Source organism: Homo sapiens, chromosome 8 (genome assembly GCF_000001405.40).
Source record: "Homo sapiens chromosome 8, GRCh38.p14 Primary Assembly".
NCBI classification, from domain to species: Eukaryota; Metazoa; Chordata; class Mammalia; order Primates; family Hominidae; genus Homo; species Homo sapiens.
In genome coordinates this window covers 123,344,295-123,362,784 of record NC_000008.11, presented here as the reverse complement: position 1 = coordinate 123,362,784, position 18,490 = coordinate 123,344,295, and the positions used below count along the sequence as shown (strand labels likewise).

General features: G+C 38.4%; 1 protein-coding gene, 2 non-coding genes and 1 pseudogene across 10 annotated transcripts in view; 2 read left to right on the top strand and 2 right to left on the bottom strand.

The window, feature by feature from the left end:
• The window catches only part of ATAD2 (ATPase family AAA domain containing 2), a 96,501-nt gene that overhangs the window by 53,566 nt on the left and 24,445 nt on the right, over positions 1-18,490 (top strand). For 5 of the 8 annotated variants that reach the window (XM_047421723.1, XM_047421722.1, XM_011516994.4 and 2 more), the window contains 11 exons: positions 1,139-1,246; positions 3,100-3,208; positions 3,449-3,564; positions 5,049-5,223; positions 6,308-6,396; positions 13,341-13,500; positions 14,512-14,602; positions 15,379-15,693; positions 16,035-16,167; positions 16,513-16,699; positions 17,716-17,901. In XM_047421723.1, coding sequence (XP_047277679.1) covers positions 1,139-1,246; positions 3,100-3,208; positions 3,449-3,564; positions 5,049-5,223; positions 6,308-6,396; positions 13,341-13,500; positions 14,512-14,602; positions 15,379-15,693; positions 16,035-16,167; positions 16,513-16,699; positions 17,716-17,901 — 1,669 coding nt within the window. Of the gene's footprint in view, positions 1-1,138; positions 1,247-3,099; positions 3,209-3,448; positions 3,565-5,048; positions 5,224-6,307; positions 6,397-7,779; positions 7,795-13,340; positions 13,501-14,511; positions 14,603-15,378; positions 15,694-16,034; positions 16,168-16,512; positions 16,700-17,715; positions 17,902-18,490 lie in introns of those variants that run through there. The other 3 variants (XM_047421725.1, XM_011516996.4, XM_047421724.1) reach the window with 3 other exon arrangements.
• On the bottom strand, positions 10,140-10,478 carry DUTP2 (deoxyuridine triphosphatase pseudogene 2; annotated as a pseudogene).
• MIR548AA1 (microRNA 548aa-1) lies at positions 14,655-14,751 on the bottom strand. The gene has a single exon (NR_037516.1). It is a non-coding gene; the product is annotated as a microRNA 548aa-1 (primary transcript).
• Positions 14,655-14,751, top strand: MIR548D1 (microRNA 548d-1). Its single transcript, NR_030382.1, has one exon. It is a non-coding gene; the product is annotated as a microRNA 548d-1 (primary transcript).

Below are 18,490 nucleotides of genomic sequence, written 5' to 3'. Positions count from 1 at the left end.
AAGTCTTTCTTGATGCCCTTTTGTTTACATAAAATCTCATGTCCTTCTTTTAAAATTGTTTGATATTTTTGGCCGGGCGTGATGACTCACACCTTAATCCCAGCACTTTGGGAGGCTGAGGCGGGCGGATCACAAGGTCAGGAGTTCAAGACCAGCCTGGCCAACATGGTGAAACCCCATCTCTATCGAAAAAAAAAAAAAGTTAACTGGGCACAATGGCTCATACCTGTAATCCCAGCTGCTCGGGAGGCTGAGGCAGGAGAATTGCTCAACTGGAACCCAGGAGGCAGAGGTTGCAGTGAGCTGAGATCATCCCACTGCACTCCAACCTGGGCTATAGAGCGAGACGAAGTCTCAAAAAAAAAAAAAAGTTATTTGATTTTTTAAAGTAGGTGATTTCCTCCCAAATGTGAATATTATGTATAGTGTAATATTGAAAATAGTTTCAAATTACAGTCCCAAATACTTTTTTTTTTTTTTTTTTAGATAGAGGCAGGGGCTTACTTTGTCACCCAGCAGGCTGCAGTGCAGTGGTGCAATCATGGCTCACTACAGCCTCGTCCTCCCAGGCTCAAGCAAATCTCTCACCTCAGCCTCCTGAGTATCTGGGACAACAGATGTGCTACAACCATACCTGTCTAAGCTTTTTGATTTTTAGTAGAGACCAAATCTTGCCAAGTTGCTCGAATGATTTTTAGTGGAGACAATGTCCCGCTACGTTGTGCTTGAACACCTGTCAAGTGATCCTTCCCCCTCGGTCTCCTAAAGTGTTGGGATTACAGGTGTGAGCCACCACACCCAGCCCCAAATATTCTAATACCCTCTTAATCCCACCTTTCTCTTTGAGAATAACTGATTTATATCAAGACTAAGAAGTCACCCTGCCTTCTCCTGTCTCCATGAACATTTGATATTCAGCTCTGCCACAGTCTTTAGTCTTTTTTCCTTTCCTCTCAGTTGTTTAAGTCTTTTATTCCATTTGAAAGATTCAGCGAACAAAGTTTATGTCAGTGGGTCAGCAGATGTATTAATTTTATGATAAACTTTTTGGAGCATTAGGTATTTCTGATGCTTTTCTTATGCCTTTTCTTTTTCCTGCCCTTCCTTATCATGATTTCAATTTTGTTTTTTACTTTAGGCGAAGGCATGCAATCCACAGTAGTGACTCGACTTCATCTTCCTCCTCTGAAGATGAACAGCACTTTGAGAGGCGGAGGAAAAGGAGTCGTAATAGGGCTATCAATAGGTAAGTGCCATATTGATGCCTTTTTAAACTAGCAGACACATTTTGTAAAAATTGCTAAGAAAACAGAATAATTTGGGTATAAGTATAGGCTGGCTGATTAAAAAGTTGCACAACAGGTTAATGTATAAACTAGAATGCTGTCTTGTTAGAATTATCTACAGTTGAATCAGAATAACAGGTTAGAACATATGACTGATTTCTTGACTTTTTTTTTTTTTTTTTGAGACAGGGCCTGGTTCTGTTGCCCAGGCTGGAGTACAGTGGCGTGATCTTGGCTCACTGCAACCACCACCTCCCGGGTTCACACGACTCTCCTGCCTCAGCCTCCTGAGTAGCTGGGGTTACAGGTGTGCATCACCACACCTGGCTCATTTTTGTAGTTTTAATAGAGATGAGGTTTCGCCATGTTGGCCAGGCTGGTCTTGAACTACTGGCCTCAAGTTATCCACCCGCCTCAGCCTCCCAAAGCTATGGAATTACAGCTGTGAGCCACCATGCCTGGCCCGCTTGCCAAATCATTATATATGGCCCACAGTGGTTCTGGTCAAACAGTGACTTAAGGAAATAACCTTTTCTTTTCATGTATTTTTTTTTTTTTTTTGCTTATAATAATGATAAGTTCTGAGGAACTCTTAAGGAAAACGGAAGGCTTTACTCATTTTATAACTCCTTGTAGTGTAAGTCCATGTATACTAACCAGCTTATTTGATTTTCCCAATAAATATTTAAGGGAGATAGAGCAAGGATTATTTACATTTTACAGATCTGGTTGAGTAAGTGAAAATGCAGTGCTTAGGTGCTTGGATTCTTTTTTTTTTCTTTTAATAGAGACAGGTTCTCACTATGTCACTGAGACTAGAGTAGAAGCTAGGCTGGTCTCGAACTCCTGACCTCAAGTGACTCAGCTGGGATTACCGGCATGAGCCACCACACCTGGCCATAACTATTTCTGAATATTTTTGAAAGTAGTTAGGGAACTTCCAGCCTGTCCAGCATGGTGAAACCCCGTCTCGACTAAAAGTACAAAAATTAGCCAGATGTTGGTGGTGCACACCAGTAATCCCAGCTACTCAGGAGGCTGAGGCAGGAGAATAGCTTGAACCCAGGAGGCGAAGATTGCAGCGAGCCGAGATCACACCACTGCACTCCAGCCTGGGCGACAGGGTGAGACTCAGAAAAAACCCAAAAGACAAAACAAAACAACAAAAAAGGAAGTAGTTAGGGAACTTGCTTGAGAGGATTGATCTTGGATCCAAATGCTGGTAGACTGCGAATATTTTTTCTGGGAGATATCATAGCAGAATTGTTATAGCTCTGGAGACAGACCACTTGTGTTTGATTCCTGGCCCTGCCATTTACTAGTTGGGTGATCTTGGACAAATCAGTTAATCTTTCTATGTCTTGGTTTTGTTTTAAAATGGGGAAAATAATAATACCTTCCTCATAAGACTGTTGTGAGGATTTATCAACTTAATCCACGTAAAGCACCTAAAACTAAAACAGTGTCTGGCAAATGGTAAATACCCTGTCTGTGTTAGACACCTCCATTAAAATGTAGGTTAGTACTGTCTGATTTCACCACCGTGAATCACTTTATGGTGCCTGTGGCATCTTGGTATTTTTATTTGATTATATGTCTTTAATTTCATAATAAAGCTTCAGATATAAATATTTCTAACACTTAAGTTCTGGACCTATTACAGAAAATGAGGAAATTAAAATACATATCTTAAGATTGCTCCGGTTGAAATTTAGATTTTTTTTTTAACTTAAATGTTTATATTCAAACATGGAATTTGGGAAGGAGGGTGAGTTGATGGGTTTGTGTGGTTTTAAAAAATCTTTTTAAATAGGTGCCTCCCACTAAATTTTCGGAAAGATGAATTAAAAGGCATTTATAAAGATCGAATGAAAATTGGAGCAAGCCTTGCCGATGTTGATCCAATGCAACTAGATTCTTCAGTGAGTACTCTGTTTTGAAACATATGCTTGAACTATAATGTGCTTTGTTTTAGTTTTAAAGTTAAAAAAAGGAACCAATGATTTTTCTTTTTAGTCAAAACTCTAACCTTTACAGACGTTTTCTGTTAATCTTCAGGTCACAATTAAGATATTATTACTTCATTGACTGTGTATGGTGTGGGGTGACATTTTAATCTGGACTCCAAATCTAAAAATGTACATGTTCGCTTCCATTACCAGGTACGATTTGATAGTGTTGGTGGCCTGTCTAATCATATAGCAGCTCTAAAAGAGATGGTGGTGTTTCCATTACTTTATCCAGAAGTCTTTGAAAAATTTAAAATTCAACCCCCAAGGTAATTTAATTATATTTTTAATTTTAGCTGAAAATCTTTGCTATTCTTGCTTCTTGTAGTTCTTATACCTTGCTTATTAACCCATTTTTAAGTGATAGTTCCCTTTTCCCTTTTCATTATACAACTTTTCTCTCTGAATCACCTTTATAGAAGCAGTAATTTAAATAAACTTTTAAAAATTAGTAAGCTTTCCCCCCATCATAAAAGTAATATACTGGGCCAGGCACAGTGGCTCATGCCTGTAATCCCAGCACTTTGGGGGGCCAAGGCGGGTGGATTACCTGAGCTCAGGAGTTTGAGACCAGCCTGGGCAACGTGGTGAAACCCCGTCTCTACTAAAATACAAAAAATTAGCCAGGCCTGGCGGCGTGCGCTGAGGCACAATTGCTTGAACCCAGGAGGCGGAAGTTGCAGTGAGCTGAGATTGGGCCACCGCATTCCAGCCTGGGCGACAGAGCAAGACACCATCTCCAAAAAAAAAAAAAAAAAAAAAAAAAGTAATGTACCATATATCAATCACAGGTAAACACTGGTGGGTTTTAAATTAAATTTTGTAATTTAAAAAATTAGAAAGTGGCCAGGCACGATGGCTTATGCCTGTAATCCCAGCACTTTGAGAGGTCAAGGTAGGTGGATCACAAGGTCCGGAGTTCAAGACTAGCCTGGCCAACATAGTGAAACCCTGTCTTTACTAAAAATACCCAAAAAATTAGCCAGGCATGGTGGCGGGCACCTGTTGTCCCAGCTACTCGGGAGGCTGAGGCAGGAGAATTGCTTGAACCTGGGATGCGGAGGTTGCAGTGAGCCGAGATCGCACCACTGCAGTCCAGCCTGGGCGACACAGCAAGACTCTGTCTCAAAAAAAAAATAGAAAGTGCCAGGCATGGTGGCTCACACCTGTGATTCCAGTGACTTGGGAGACTAAGACAGGAAGATTGCTTTAGCTCAGGAATTTGAGGTTGTAGTGAGCTATGATCATGCCACTGCGCTCCAGCCTAGCTGACAGTGAGACCCCATCTTTAAAAATAAGTCAGAAAGTTATTAATATTAAATAACATTTACTTCTTACAGGAAATGTTGGAAGTGCCTAGTTAAAGTAATTTAGTAAATTAAAAACAAATTTCTTGAATTTTCTTTCACATTTCTTCTTCCTTACAATATACGTTTTCCCCCATACAAATTGAATTATATGATTGTGATATGTGATTACATATGCAAGGTAAGATAATATGATGAACATGATGAATGAATTGTTAAAATGTTTCAAATAGAGTTTTATTTACAGTTTCAATATTAATTTTACAGTATCAGTATTAACTCCCAGGTTTTAAGTTGTGCTTTGTGGTGCGAAACTGTACCATAATTCAGTTGTCTTACACATTTTAATTTTCTAATTAAATGAATCATGAAATTGGTTTCTAATTTTTGTTTTAAAAGTCTGCTTTTTAAATGTAATACTAAAATGTTAATGTATTGTTTTACAGAGGTTGTTTGTTTTATGGGCCACCTGGAACTGGAAAGACTCTGGTTGCCAGAGCACTTGCCAATGAGTGCAGTCAAGGGGATAAAAGAGTAGCATTTTTCATGAGGAAAGGTGCTGATTGTCTAAGTAAATGGGTAGGAGAATCTGAAAGACAGCTACGATTGCTGTTTGATCAGGTATGATATTAACATTTTATATATCTGGATAGTTCTGTAATCTAGGCAGATGTGTGTGAGGATTAGATAAATCTTACATTTAATCAGTGTTCTAAATAAACCCAGAAGAATTAGACTATTTCTTTCTAGATTATTTTCTTTTATATGTCGAGATGACACTGACCTACAGTGAACAGTTTTATAGTAAGAAGGGAAAGAAATAATTGGATCTTAGTTGTTTGGAGTCTTAGGTCTCATGCATATAGGAAGAGAGTGGTAATCTCATATTTAGAGAGATAGTAGTAGTGAATTATGGCTCAGTATGGGAGTTAAAGACTATTTCTGCCCTGGAGCGGCTTTCATTTTCATATCCCAGATTGTATTGACAGCACATTGTAAGATAATACTTTCTGATCTACTGAGGCATATTGCTGCAAATGCTTTTAAATCTCTTTTTGGAACTCTCCCGAGGTTCTTTTTTACTTTTATGTTTATGGAAATGGATAAAAACTGTGGCATCTTGCTAAATAATGTTTTCCCATCCTGACTTGGAGGAAGACTATGTCACTGTCTTCTATTCTTTGTCTTGTTTCCATAGTTCAATAAATATTTTTGCGTGTCCAGGAACGATAGCTATGTGAAATCTAAGGTATATAACCAGTGGAGTATATCTTTTGAATACTTCTGGTTGAAAATGCAATTGAAAATTAAACCATATATCATTATAATTTAGTTTGAATTCTTAAAACCCCGTTACTAGAACTTATGTTTAAATTTATAAATTATAAATAGTTATAAATTATAAATAAATTGAGACTGAGGCAGGAAAATCACTTGAACCCAGGAGGCAGAGGTTGCACTGAGCCAAGATCACGCCACTGCACTCCAGCCTGGGTGACAGTGAGACTCCATCTCAAAAAAAAAAAAAAATTATATATAAATTCTGGTAAGTAAGTTTGAAGAAAAACCGATTCAAATAGTATATATTCAGCTTTATAAATTCTGTTAAGCATATTTGAATGAGAATTTATTAAAATGGTTTATATTAAGTCTACGTGTTTGAGGCTGTTTATGCTAACAAATGACCACTCCACCTACTTTCTAGGCCTATCAGATGCGCCCATCAATTATTTTTTTTGACGAAATTGATGGTCTGGCTCCAGTACGGTCAAGCAGGCAAGATCAGATTCACAGGTAAAACTTGCTTGATGGCACTTCAACGTTTCTTCCTATTTCCTGAGTGGTATTGATGTGTGAGAGATAGAATGTTAAATGGTGAAAGAAACTTTATAAGCTAGTAGTTCCTTTTTTTGGTAGTAGAACCCCAGTATATAGTACAAAAATAAAAAATGTGGATGGTTGCAGTGGCTCATACCTGTATTCCTGGCACTTTGGGAGGCCAAGGCAGGCAGATCACTTGAGGTCAAGAGTTTGAGACCAGCCTGGCCAACATGGTGAAATCCTGTCTCTACTAAAAAAAAAAAAAAATTAGCCGGGTGTGGTGGTGCAAACCTAATAATCCCAGCTCCGTGGAAGGCTGAGGCAGGAGAATCAGGAGAATCACTTGAACCCGGGAGGCGGAGGTTGCAGTGAGCTGAGATTATGCCACTGCACTCCAGCCTGGGTGACAGAGCGAAACTCCCTCTCAAAAAAAAAGTAAACCTGCTCCGAGTGTCAGTGTGTTGTAAAGCATGGTTTAAAAATCTTGGTTACAGAAGATTTAACTCATGATAGAAACAAATGTCTGCGGGTCAGTGATGTTAAGCCACTAGTAAGAGGAGGGCTATGGTGGGGAATGTGGCTGAATGTCCTATCACAAGAGCATATTCAGTTGCTTTTATCTCTGACCTGTTACTGATGTGCAGAAGCTTACCCAGACTTGAAAAATCGATTTTTTCCCTCAGATTTTATGTTCAAATTGTCAAGTATCTTAAATTTTACCAGCTAATTTGGATGCTTTTAAGACATTGCCTGCGCTAAACAAAATCTAACTTAGGGCATTACTACTAGTTTAGGATTCTAATACTAGACCAATCTCCCCATTTTAAAGATGGGTAAATTGAACCCTCAACCCCCATGATTAGTTGCTTATCCAAGGGAGCACTTTTACAAGTGCTATTGTCCCAACCTGAATCTAAATTGCTTTTAGTCCCAATTCATTTCAGTTTTTTAGAACTTCTTTTTAAATGGTTTCATGAATGATGTGTAATTGATTGATTAATTTGGAATATCCTAAAGGAAATATTTGCATACTTTCATATATGCTAGTAGTATTGTTTTATATTGTAGATAATGTAGATGAATAAGATATAGTGTGTGATTGATAGGTGGGTTTTGGCTTTTCTAACATCTAACAAGATTTGCTATATTCTAATGGCCTTTTAAACTTGATGATAAACAATTTTGCTTATTGCTGTGAGTAAATTAAAATATATGTTAAGTACCATGGTAAAAGTAGTTTTGTCTCTGCATGTCCTATTAGTAATCAGATAAACTTTTTATATGTGACGCATTTCATTATCAGTCACACTATATTCATTGTGCTAACAGGAAGGAACATATTTAACAATACTTCCATCACTTCATAATCAAGTAAGTTGAGTACTTACTGTGTTTTGGGATACTTCTAAAGGTATTGGAGGAATTTTGGCAAAAAAATTACAGAGTAATTGTAGCAAAACTGTGCCATCTCAAATATATATATATATATATATATATTTTTTTTTTTTTTTTTTTTTTTTTTTTGAGACAGAGTCTTGCTCTGTTGCCCAGGCTGGAATGCAATAGCGTGATCTTGGCTCACTGCAACCCCCATCTCCCAGGTTCCAGCGATTCTTCTGCCTCAGCCTCCCAAGTAGTTGGGGCTACAGGTGTGCCCCACCATGCCCAGCTAAATTTTTGTATTTTAGTAGAGATGGGGTTTCACCATGTTGGCCAGGTCTTGAACTCCTGACCTCAGGTGATCAGCCCGCCTCAGCCTCCCAGAGTGCTGGGATTACAGATGTGAGCCACCGCACCCAGCCTGTTCTTTGTATTTTTAGCAGACACTGGGTTTCGCCATGTTGGCCAAGCTGGTCCTGAACTCCTGACTTTAGGTGATCCACCCGTCTCTGCCTCCCAAAGTGCTGGGATTACAGGCATGAGCCACCGCGCCTGGCCAAATATAGCTACATTTTTAAAAGAAATTTAGTATTCAAGTTATTTTAACCAAAAACTTAAAAATTCTGACAGAGTAAAAATGTATGTTAAATTAAGCTTTTTTAGAATTTAGCACATTGCATGTTGAAGATGATTAAACTGTATTCTGCACTTAATTTTAGTAATAATACTGTAGAATAATGCAAATAAGTAATTATGTGAATGTCATTAGGTAATAATATTTTCAACCTAAGAGAAAGAAGATACAAGTGTGAAATAAAGAAGTCAAATTACCCTAAATTGTTTTTTTTGAGACAAAGTCTTGCTCTGTCGCCCAGGCTGGAGTGCAGTAGCACAGTCTTGGCTCACTGCAACCTCTGCCTCCCGAGTTCAAGCAATTCTCCTGCCTCAGCCTCCCGAGTAGCTGGGATTACAGGCATGTACCAGCACACTTAGCTAATTTTTTGTATTTTTAGTAGAGACAGGGTTTCACCATGTTGGCCAGGCTGGTCTCGAACTCCTGATCTCAGGTGATCCACCTGCCTCAGCCTTCCAAAGTACTGGGATTACAGGCGTGAGCCACCCACTTGACCTGAAACCCTGATAGTCTTTACTTTGAATTGCAAATATCAATAGAAACTTGGGACAGAGTTTTTTGTTTTGTTTTGTTTTGTTTAAAGAAAAAAAAAATCCTAACTCTGGACACTTTAAACAGGCCTAGAAGCAATCACAATCCAGTAGCAATTAATGTCCATCCCTGAGTGTGGTCTCTAAATATTAGGACTCAGGAGAGATGGCGGATTGTAACACTGAAGCAGAAACGATCAAGACAAGCCTGGAATACTTTGTAATGCCTGAAAGCAATAAAAAAAAAAAATTACTGGAATCGTACCAGAATGACATAGGAGCCAATTTTGAGGGATCTCTCACTGGCTGAAGATGAAACAATTTGAGCATCAAAAATAGTGACTACAGTAGATAGAAATATATCAAATACCTAAAAAAAATCACTTTTTTATGTTGTTAGTTTTTTGTTGTTGTTGGTTTTGGTTTGGTTTGTTGTTGTTGTTGTTGTTGTTTTGTGACAGAGTCTCACTCTGTCACCCAGGCTGGAGTGCAGTGGTATGATCTTGGCTCACTGCAACCTCCACCTCCCAGGTTCAAGCTATTCTCGTGCCTCAGCCTCCCCAGTAGCTGGGATTACAGGCATGTGCCACCACTCCTGGCTAATTTTTGAACTTTTAGTAGAGACGGGGTTTTGCCATTTTGGCCAAGCTGGTCTTGAACTCCTGGCCTCAAGAGATCTACCTGCCTCAGCCTCCCAAAGTGCTGGGATTACAGGCGTGACCCACCACACAAGGCCTTGTTTTTGTTTTTTGAGACAGAATCTTACTCTGTTACCCAGGCTGGAGTGCAGTAGCATGATCACAACTCACTGCAGCCTTGATCTCCTGGGCTCAAGCAATCTTCCCACCTCAACTTCTCAGAACTACAGGCACACACTACCACACTCAGCTGGGTTTTGGTTGTTTGTTTGTTTGTTTTTTAGTAAAGATGAAGTCTCTGTTGCCCAGGTTGGTCTTGAACTCCTGAGCTCAAGTGATCCTCCCACCTCAGGCTCCCAAAGTGCTGGGATTACAGGCATGAGCCACCATGCCCAGCCACCATCAGTTTTTTGTTGTTGTTGTTGTTGTTGTTTTTGATTTTGTTTTTGTTGTTTTTTTTTTTAAAAGAAAACATCTTATTTGTAAAAAAAAAAAAGGTATGATTTCTTAATTTCTATTCTTGGCATAAATTTTCTTTCCAGTGCAACCAAAACTTACGGAACCCTCTTCAGCACTGTTATTCAGAACTTGGAGTTCTATTGCTGGATAAAAAATTCATTCACAAATAAGCTGTGCAATTCGATCACCTTGAAGTTTTGACTTCAAACTTTTCTTTGACAAAACACCAATGTTTCTCCTATAACCTTCATCTAAGATACCCAGCTCCTAAGTGTTGCAGCCAAGCCAAAATGTAGAGCTACTCTTCCATAATACCCAGAAGGAGCAGCTATCTGAATGTCTGATAGCTTCTTCCATAGGTGGTACTGTATAATCATATGCACTGTATAGGTCATAGCCCTCGGCCTGTGTGGACTCCCAGCTCCCAGGTTGAGTCCAGAACCAGGCAAGGTGGAGCTACATGCCCCACCCCACCCTCCTGTGCAAGCCAGACCCACTTGCCGGGGGAAATGACAGGTGTCTCTTTGGAGCAGGGCATGGCAGAGCAAGGAGGTGAGGGGAGGAGATAGCCACGAGAACCAGAAAGTGCAGAATGAGCCTCCTCCCCATCACCACCACCCCCGCCACTGCTGGCAGGGAACACACCAAGATCTTAAAAATCATCAGTTTTTAGGGCCGGGCACGGTGGCTCACACCTGTAATCCCAGCACTTTGGGAGGCCAAGGCGGGTGGATCACGAGGTCAGGAGATCGAGACCATCCTGGCTAACACGGTGAAACCCCATCTCTACTAAAAATACAAAAATATTAGCCAGGCATGGTGGCAGGTGCCTGTAGTCCCAGCTACTCGGGAGGTGGAGGCAGTAGAATGGCACGAACCCGGGAGGCGGAGCTTGCAGTCAGCTGAGATCGTGCCACTGCACTCCAGCCTGGGCGACACAGCCAGACTCCGTCTCAAAAAAAAAAAAAAAAACATCAGTTTTTAATAATGTTTTTAATTCAACTGGTCACCTAAGGTTGCTGAGTTATTATTTATTACTCTGAAAATTGATAAGAGGGAAAGAATCAAACATTTCTTCTTCCTGTCCTATACAGGCCATGATTGAGGGTAATTCAGCAGTTGATGAAGTAGTGTAGTTCTTTGTATAGGAAAATCACAGCTAATAAATGCAAAAGAAATGATTGAATCAGAAAGTCACCATTTTGCAGCCTCTTATGAAATAGTGGATCTAGACCTGTCGTTTTTTAACCAGGGATGATGCCATCCCCCTCCCCGAAGGGACAGATATCTAGAGACAGTTATGGTTGTCACAACTGGTGGGGGCAGCTACTTAGCATTTGGTAGATGAAGGCTGTTAAACATCTTACACGTACAGGACAGCTCTCCACAACAAATAATTATCTGGCCCAAAATGTCAGTAGTGCTAATTTGGGAAACCTTTATCTAAACAATAATTATCAATGGCCACTCAAGCAGTAAGATAAAAAAGAAGTTTGATGGGGATATTTATGATGGGTGGAACAAGCTGTTAACACCTGACCGAAACTCAACCCACTGATTGACCTTAAATGGGAAACTGATATTAGGTGCCTCCTGTGGGGATATAATAGGAATTACGTGGTATCTTCCTGTGAAATATGCCATCCCAAATGGTTTAGCCAGCATCCATGAAGCTTCTAGATCTAGGCCGGGTGCAGTGGCTCACGTCTGTAATCCCAGCACTTTGGGAGTCCTAGGCAGGCAGGGCAGATCACAAGGTCAGAAGATGGAGACCATCCTGGCTAACACGGTGAAATCTCGTCTCTACTAAAAAAAAAAATACAAAAAAATTAGCCAGGCATGGTAGCGGGCGCCTGTAGTCCCAGCTACTCAGGAGGCTGAGGCAGGAGAATGGCGTAAACCCAGGAGGTGGAGCTTGCAGTGAGCTGAGACCACGCCACTGCACTCCAGCCTGGGAGACAGAGCGAGACTCTGTCTCAAAAAAAAAGAAAAAAAAAGCTTCTAGATCTAGCTACCAGTTTCCAGGAAATGTGAAAGATAGAGGGGGACAACTTAAATGACCCTATCAGGAAGCAGTCAGCCCAGTCCAGAACGTGGGAAGGAAATTCTACAAGCCAAACGACCCAGTTTCTTCAACAAATAAATGTCATGGAGGGAAAAAAAATGTAAGAGGCACAGTGGGAACTGTCAAGGAATTCAGTGACAAATAATCAAGTGTAGTGTGTGGGTCCTGGATTAACTAAATCAAATGTAAACAGGTATTTTGAGACAATCAGGAAAAATTGGGTATTAGATATTATTAAAGAATTAGTCATTTACTTAGGATGATGATATTGTTGGGTTTGTTGTAAGTCCTTGTCTCTTAGAAATCCATACATGAAGTACTTACATGAAATATTTATGAATTGAACTGTGTGTCCGAGGTTTTATTTTTCTTTTTAAAAGTGATCAGGTGAAGACATTAAAAAAGTCATACTGATAATTGTTGAAGCTGAGTGATGGAAATTTGGAGATCATTTTACTATTCTGTCTTTATAATAAAAAGTTTAAAATGTAATGAAAATTCTGTTATGCTTTATGTATATTCTATTTTGGTGTCCTTTGATAATGTATATACAGTGGAAATTTTATTATTTTTAGATACTGTGTGTCCTACCTGGTGCTACCAGCACTTTTTTTCTTTTTCTTTTCTTTTTTATTTTTTTGAGACAAGGTCTTGCTCTGTCACCCAGGCTGGAATGCAGTGGTGCAATCTTGGCTCACTACGTACAACCTCAGCTTCCCAAGTAGTAGGACTACAGGCACAGGTCATGTCACCATGCTGGCTAATTTTTTTTTTTTTTTTTAATAGAGATGGGGTTTCCCTATGTTGCCCAGGCTGGTCTCAAACTCCTGGCCTCGAGTACTCTTCCCACCTCAGCCCCCAAGTTCTGGGGTTACAGGCGTGAGCCACCATGCCTTGCCTTTTTTTTCTTTTTGATGTTATATATTGTTTGAGAACTCTTAAGTTCCTTTGTGAAATTATGCTTTATAAAATGTCTTCTAGGATTCATTTGTGGGGGGTCTAACAACCGTCTGTTTTCCATTGATTTCAATTTCTGTGGGCCATTTGGGATGTTATTTTATAGATTTTTTTAATCCATTGGAAATAGTGAGGTGCCCTGAGAAAATTTATTCACATGTAATGCGTTAAATCTTACAAAAGAAGAAATATTACTGAATGATATAGACTGTGTTCATAGTATTAATCTCTTCTCTCTTATTTTTAAAATTTAGTTCTATTGTTTCCACCCTGCTAGCTCTTATGGATGGATTGGACAGCAGAGGGGAAATTGTGGTCATTGGTGCTACGAACAGGCTAGATTCTATAGATCCTGCTTTACGAAGGCCTGGTCGCTTTGATAGAGAATTCCTCTTTAGCCTGCCTGATAAAGAGGTAAGAATTTAATGTCACTCAAATTTTGACAAAATATATTGCTGTTTATTAATAATAAGTCTTGGTATAGTAAAAATTTGGAGATTCTTGAGTTTTGTATCATGGTCTTGTCAAATGATAGTAAACAACTCAAATGGGGACAAATTTTTATTCTTTTCTTTAAATATAATAATGCCTTCCCAAAATTACTCTTAAAATTATTTCAATTTGAGTGTAGCCTTTGGATGTTCTAAGTGTTGCTTCAGAACATATGGCTTAATGAGTAATCAATCCTTAGCCAGTTTGTTAGCCTTGTCTTTTTCATGAATATCATCATATAATCCTACCGAGTTTTTTTAAGTCTACTTAATCTTCTGGGAACCAAAGAGGAAAATATGTCAAGAGCTGTCTGTACTCTTAAAAACAGCTCTTAATATGCACCAGAATGAATAGCTACTTTAGTAGTTACTTTTCTCTTATTTGTGTTTATGACGAATATAACTTTAGTGCTATAAATGCAAATATGTTTAATAATGAGACTTAAGTTCATTAAACTCTTAAAAGTACATCCTTTTTCTTATTTTCACTTTCATATTTTGCTTATATTGAGTTTTTTTGGTTGGTTGTTTATGATAAAGTCTTGCTCTGTCACCCAGGCTGGGGTGCAGTGGCACAATCTCAGCTCACTGCAACTTCCGTCCCCGGGATTCAAGCAATTCTCGTGCCTCAGACTCCCAAGTAGCTGGGATTACAGGCACATGCTACCACGCCCAGCTAATCTTTGTATTTTTAGTAGAGAGTGGTTTTCACCATGTTGGCCAGGCTGGTCTTGAACTTCCAACCTCAAGTGATCCACCTGCCTCGGCCTCCCAAAGTGCTGGGATTACAGGTGTGAGCCACCGCACCCGGCCAGTATTAAGTACTGATCACTTTAAAATTTTAGATAATCAAAAGTATTTTAATCAAAATTAATGTAATCTGAATAGCATTTATTATTATAGTTGTAAAAAATTAAATTGTTTTTATTCATAGGCTCGAAAAGAGATTCTAAAGATTCACACCAGGGATTGGAATCCCAAACCACTGGACACATTTTTAGAAGAGCTAGCAGAAAACTGTGTTGGTAAACATTGTTTTAAGCAGTTAAAATAAATACTACATTTATTTCAAATATGAAACAAGTTATATTAGGTTGGTGCAAAAGTAATTGTGGTTTTTGCCTGTAAAAGTAATGGCAAAAACCACAGTTTCTTTTGCACCAGACTAATAAAGAAATACAAGGTTATATTTGTTTCTTATCTCTTATTTGTGGCATTTTCTTCTCATGAAGTCTTGGTATTAAATAGAGATATTTGACAAATTGGCCATCAGGGGCAGAGTAGATAATAATATAATTGTACAAAATACAATATATTATTATATCATAATAAGATAATAGCTATTCTTTACTGACCATTTTGTAGTCATCCTTTTAAGCATTTTACATATATTATTTCATGTAATTTTCACATCATTCCTGTGATGTAGGTAGCAGTATCTCTACAGATGAAGAAATGGCTGGAGAGCATTATGTGAATCTTCTAAGGTCATACAGCTAGTAAATTACAAACTGGAATGTGAATCTAGTCTGTGTGATTTTAAAACTCTTGCTTTTGACCTCTGTGCTATACTTAGTGCTTGTGTATTGCACTCTTAAAAGTTGATTGATTGTTGATGGCCATTACTACCCTATAAGTTTACTGGGTAAAAGAGATTTTGGTCTTATTACTCTTAAATATTTGCTAACTATATTCCGAGGCTGATTTTTAATTTTTTTTTTAACCATGGTCATGCTAATAGAGTTTTGTGTTTCTTTGTTTGGTCGGCTGGTTCTTTTCTTCCCCTGGTTGCTTTGGATAGGATACTGTGGAGCAGATATTAAATCAATATGTGCTGAAGCTGCTTTATGTGCTTTACGACGACGCTACCCACAGATCTATACCACTAGTGAGAAACTGCAGTTGGATCTCTCTTCAATTAATATCTCAGCTAAGGATTTCGAGGTAGCTATGCAAAAGATGATACCAGCCTCCCAAAGAGCTGTGACATCACCTGGGCAGGCACTGTCCACCGTTGTGAAACCACTCCTGCAAAACACTGTTGACAAGATTTTAGAAGCCCTGCAGAGAGTATTTCCACATGCAGAATTCAGAACAAATAAAACATTAGACTCAGGTATAAAACTTGATTGACCATTTAAAGTTAGTTTTTATAATCAGTAAAGTGAAATGTTTCATACATACCAGAAATATTTATTTGTAAAAGAATCTCTTGAAAAGAATTTGGTAATGCTTTACCTGGGATATTTGAAGGAAATTTACTCCATGGATTGCCCTTAATTTAACTTATTGTAAGTTTGGGGTGCATTTTTACATTTACTTATTAATTCATATCTACACAAATATTTTTGATTCTTTGAAAAAATTTAATTGAAGTATGCTGACTTGGTAACTGAAGCAATAAAGATTTGCTTTGCAATCCAAAAGTTACTAATGTACAATTTTTTGGTTTTATAGATATTTCTTGTCCTCTGCTAGAAAGTGACTTGGCTTACAGTGATGATGATGTTCCATCAGTTTATGAAAATGGACTTTCTCAGAAATCTTCTCATAAGGCAAAAGACAATTTTAATTTTCTTCATTTGAATAGGTATATTTTTCTTGCAAATCAATGTTTTTTGCATGTGTAAATTTTCTAAAAATAAATGAGATGTGGTTGAAAAAATAAAAAGTGCTAACCAATCTGCTTTTTATTTAAATTAAACTACCAGAAATTTTTTGTTGTTACAGTTGTCACAACAGTAGAAATTACAGTCTATAAAAATATTCCTAAAAACCTTTGGGGGTCAGTTTCCAGAAACTATGTGAACCATGTTATGATTGGTTGGCCTTATTGGCAAGACTTTTTACTTATGAAAGTTTATAGTTGACAATTTAGGGGGAAAATTTAAACTGTTTTTTCTAAAACATAGCTTATTAATCATTTCTCTTTCAGAAATGCTTGTTACCAACCTATGTCTTTTCGACCAAGAATATTGATAGTAGGAGAACCAGGATTTGGGCAAGGTTCTCACTTGGCACCAGCTGTCATTCATGCTTTGGAAAAGTTTACTGTATATACATTAGACATTCCTGTTCTTTTTGGAGTTAGTACTACATCCCCTGAAGAAACATGTGCCCAGGTAATTTGTTGGTGCCCAAGTATAAGACAAAACAGGCTTTCAGAGGCAAAAGCTAAAATTGCCCCATTTTTTTGTATTGTGTTTTTTTGTCTTTCTGATTTGTAACTTTAGGTTTACAAAACAGAGTTATGCATGATTGCTTAGTCATTAAAGAGAATGACTTTAAATCCCACATTCACCCTTAATATCTTTGTGACCTTAGTAAAGTTGTTAGATCTCTCTAATTTTCCCCTTTTGGAAAATGGAGATAATACTACTTACCTCACATGGCTGTTGTGAGAATTAAATGAGTAAAGTACTTAAAATGGTGACTGCTCCTTAGTAAGTACTCAGATATTCTGCAGTTTCTGTTTTTGGTATTTGTATATTAACTTTTTTTTGTTTGTTTTTGGTTTTGGTTTTTTTGAGACGGAGTCTTACTGTGTCACCAGGCTGGAGTGCAGTGGCACGATCCTGGCTCCCTGCAACCTCCGCCTTCCGGGTTCAAGCAATTCTCCTGCCTTAGCCTCCCGAGTAGCTGGGACTACAGGTGCAATGCATGCCGCCACACCCAGCTAATTTTTTTTTTTTTTTTTTTTTGTATTTTAATAGAGACGGGGTTTCACCATGTTGCCCAGGATGGTCTCAAACTCCTGGGCTCAGGCAGTCCACCCGCCTTGGCCTCCCAAAGTGCGTGGATTATAGGCATGAGCCACCGCGCCTGGCTATATTAACATTTTTAAAACATAAAAATATTTTATATTTGTAGTTTTGTTTACTTTTGATTACCACAATAGAAAAATCTTCTAGATTTCTCCAGCTGTTTTCTAGTTGCTTGAAGAAATTATCTTTTTCCAAAAAAATGAAACTTTTAATCCACATTTAAAAATAAGGTTGTGGGATTTTGGAGAAGCATTTTAAAAACTTGAGGACTTTATATGTTACTCCTGGGAGGTTAAACATTGTTTCAGACTAATAGAACTAGCATTATTAACGTGCTGACTCTAACTGAATTTGTTTTGTTCTCTCTCTACTAGGTGATTCGTGAAGCTAAGAGAACAGCACCAAGTATAGTGTATGTTCCTCATATCCACGTGTGGTGGGAAATAGTTGGACCGACACTTAAAGCCACATTTACCACATTATTACAGAATATTCCTTCATTTGCTCCAGTTTTACTACTTGCAACTTCTGACAAACCCCATTCCGCTTTGCCAGAAGAGGTAATTTATGTGGGGCGGTATCATTATACTTTCAAAAAGAGTTGTTTCTACCACAATAATCATAACTTATTGAAAAAATTCAAATGCTGTAGAAGTGAATAAAAGGATAAGTTTTCTTATCAAATATACCATTGGTAACTATTTGGTATATGTGCTCATTGGGCAAGATGGTATATGTATATGTGTATGTATATATTAAGGATACATAAATTTTTTCTCTTGAAAAATGGTATTATATGCCGGGTGCAGTGGCTCACGCCTGTAATCCCAGCACTTTGGGAGGCCGAGGTGGGTGGATCATGAGGTCAGGAGATTGAGACCATCCTGGCTAACAGGGTGAAACCCTGTCCCTACTAAAAATACAAAAAAAATTAGCTGGACGTGGTGGCTGGCGCCTGCAGTCCCAGCTACTCGGGAGACTGAAGCAGGAGAATGGCATGAACCCTGGAGGCAGAGCTTGCAGTGAGCCGAGTGAGCCACTGCACTCCAGCCTGGGCGACAGAGCGAGACTCTGTCTCAAAAAAAAAAAAAAAAAAAAAGTATTTAAAAAATGGGAGTATATGATACATACTATTCTGCAATTTGCTTT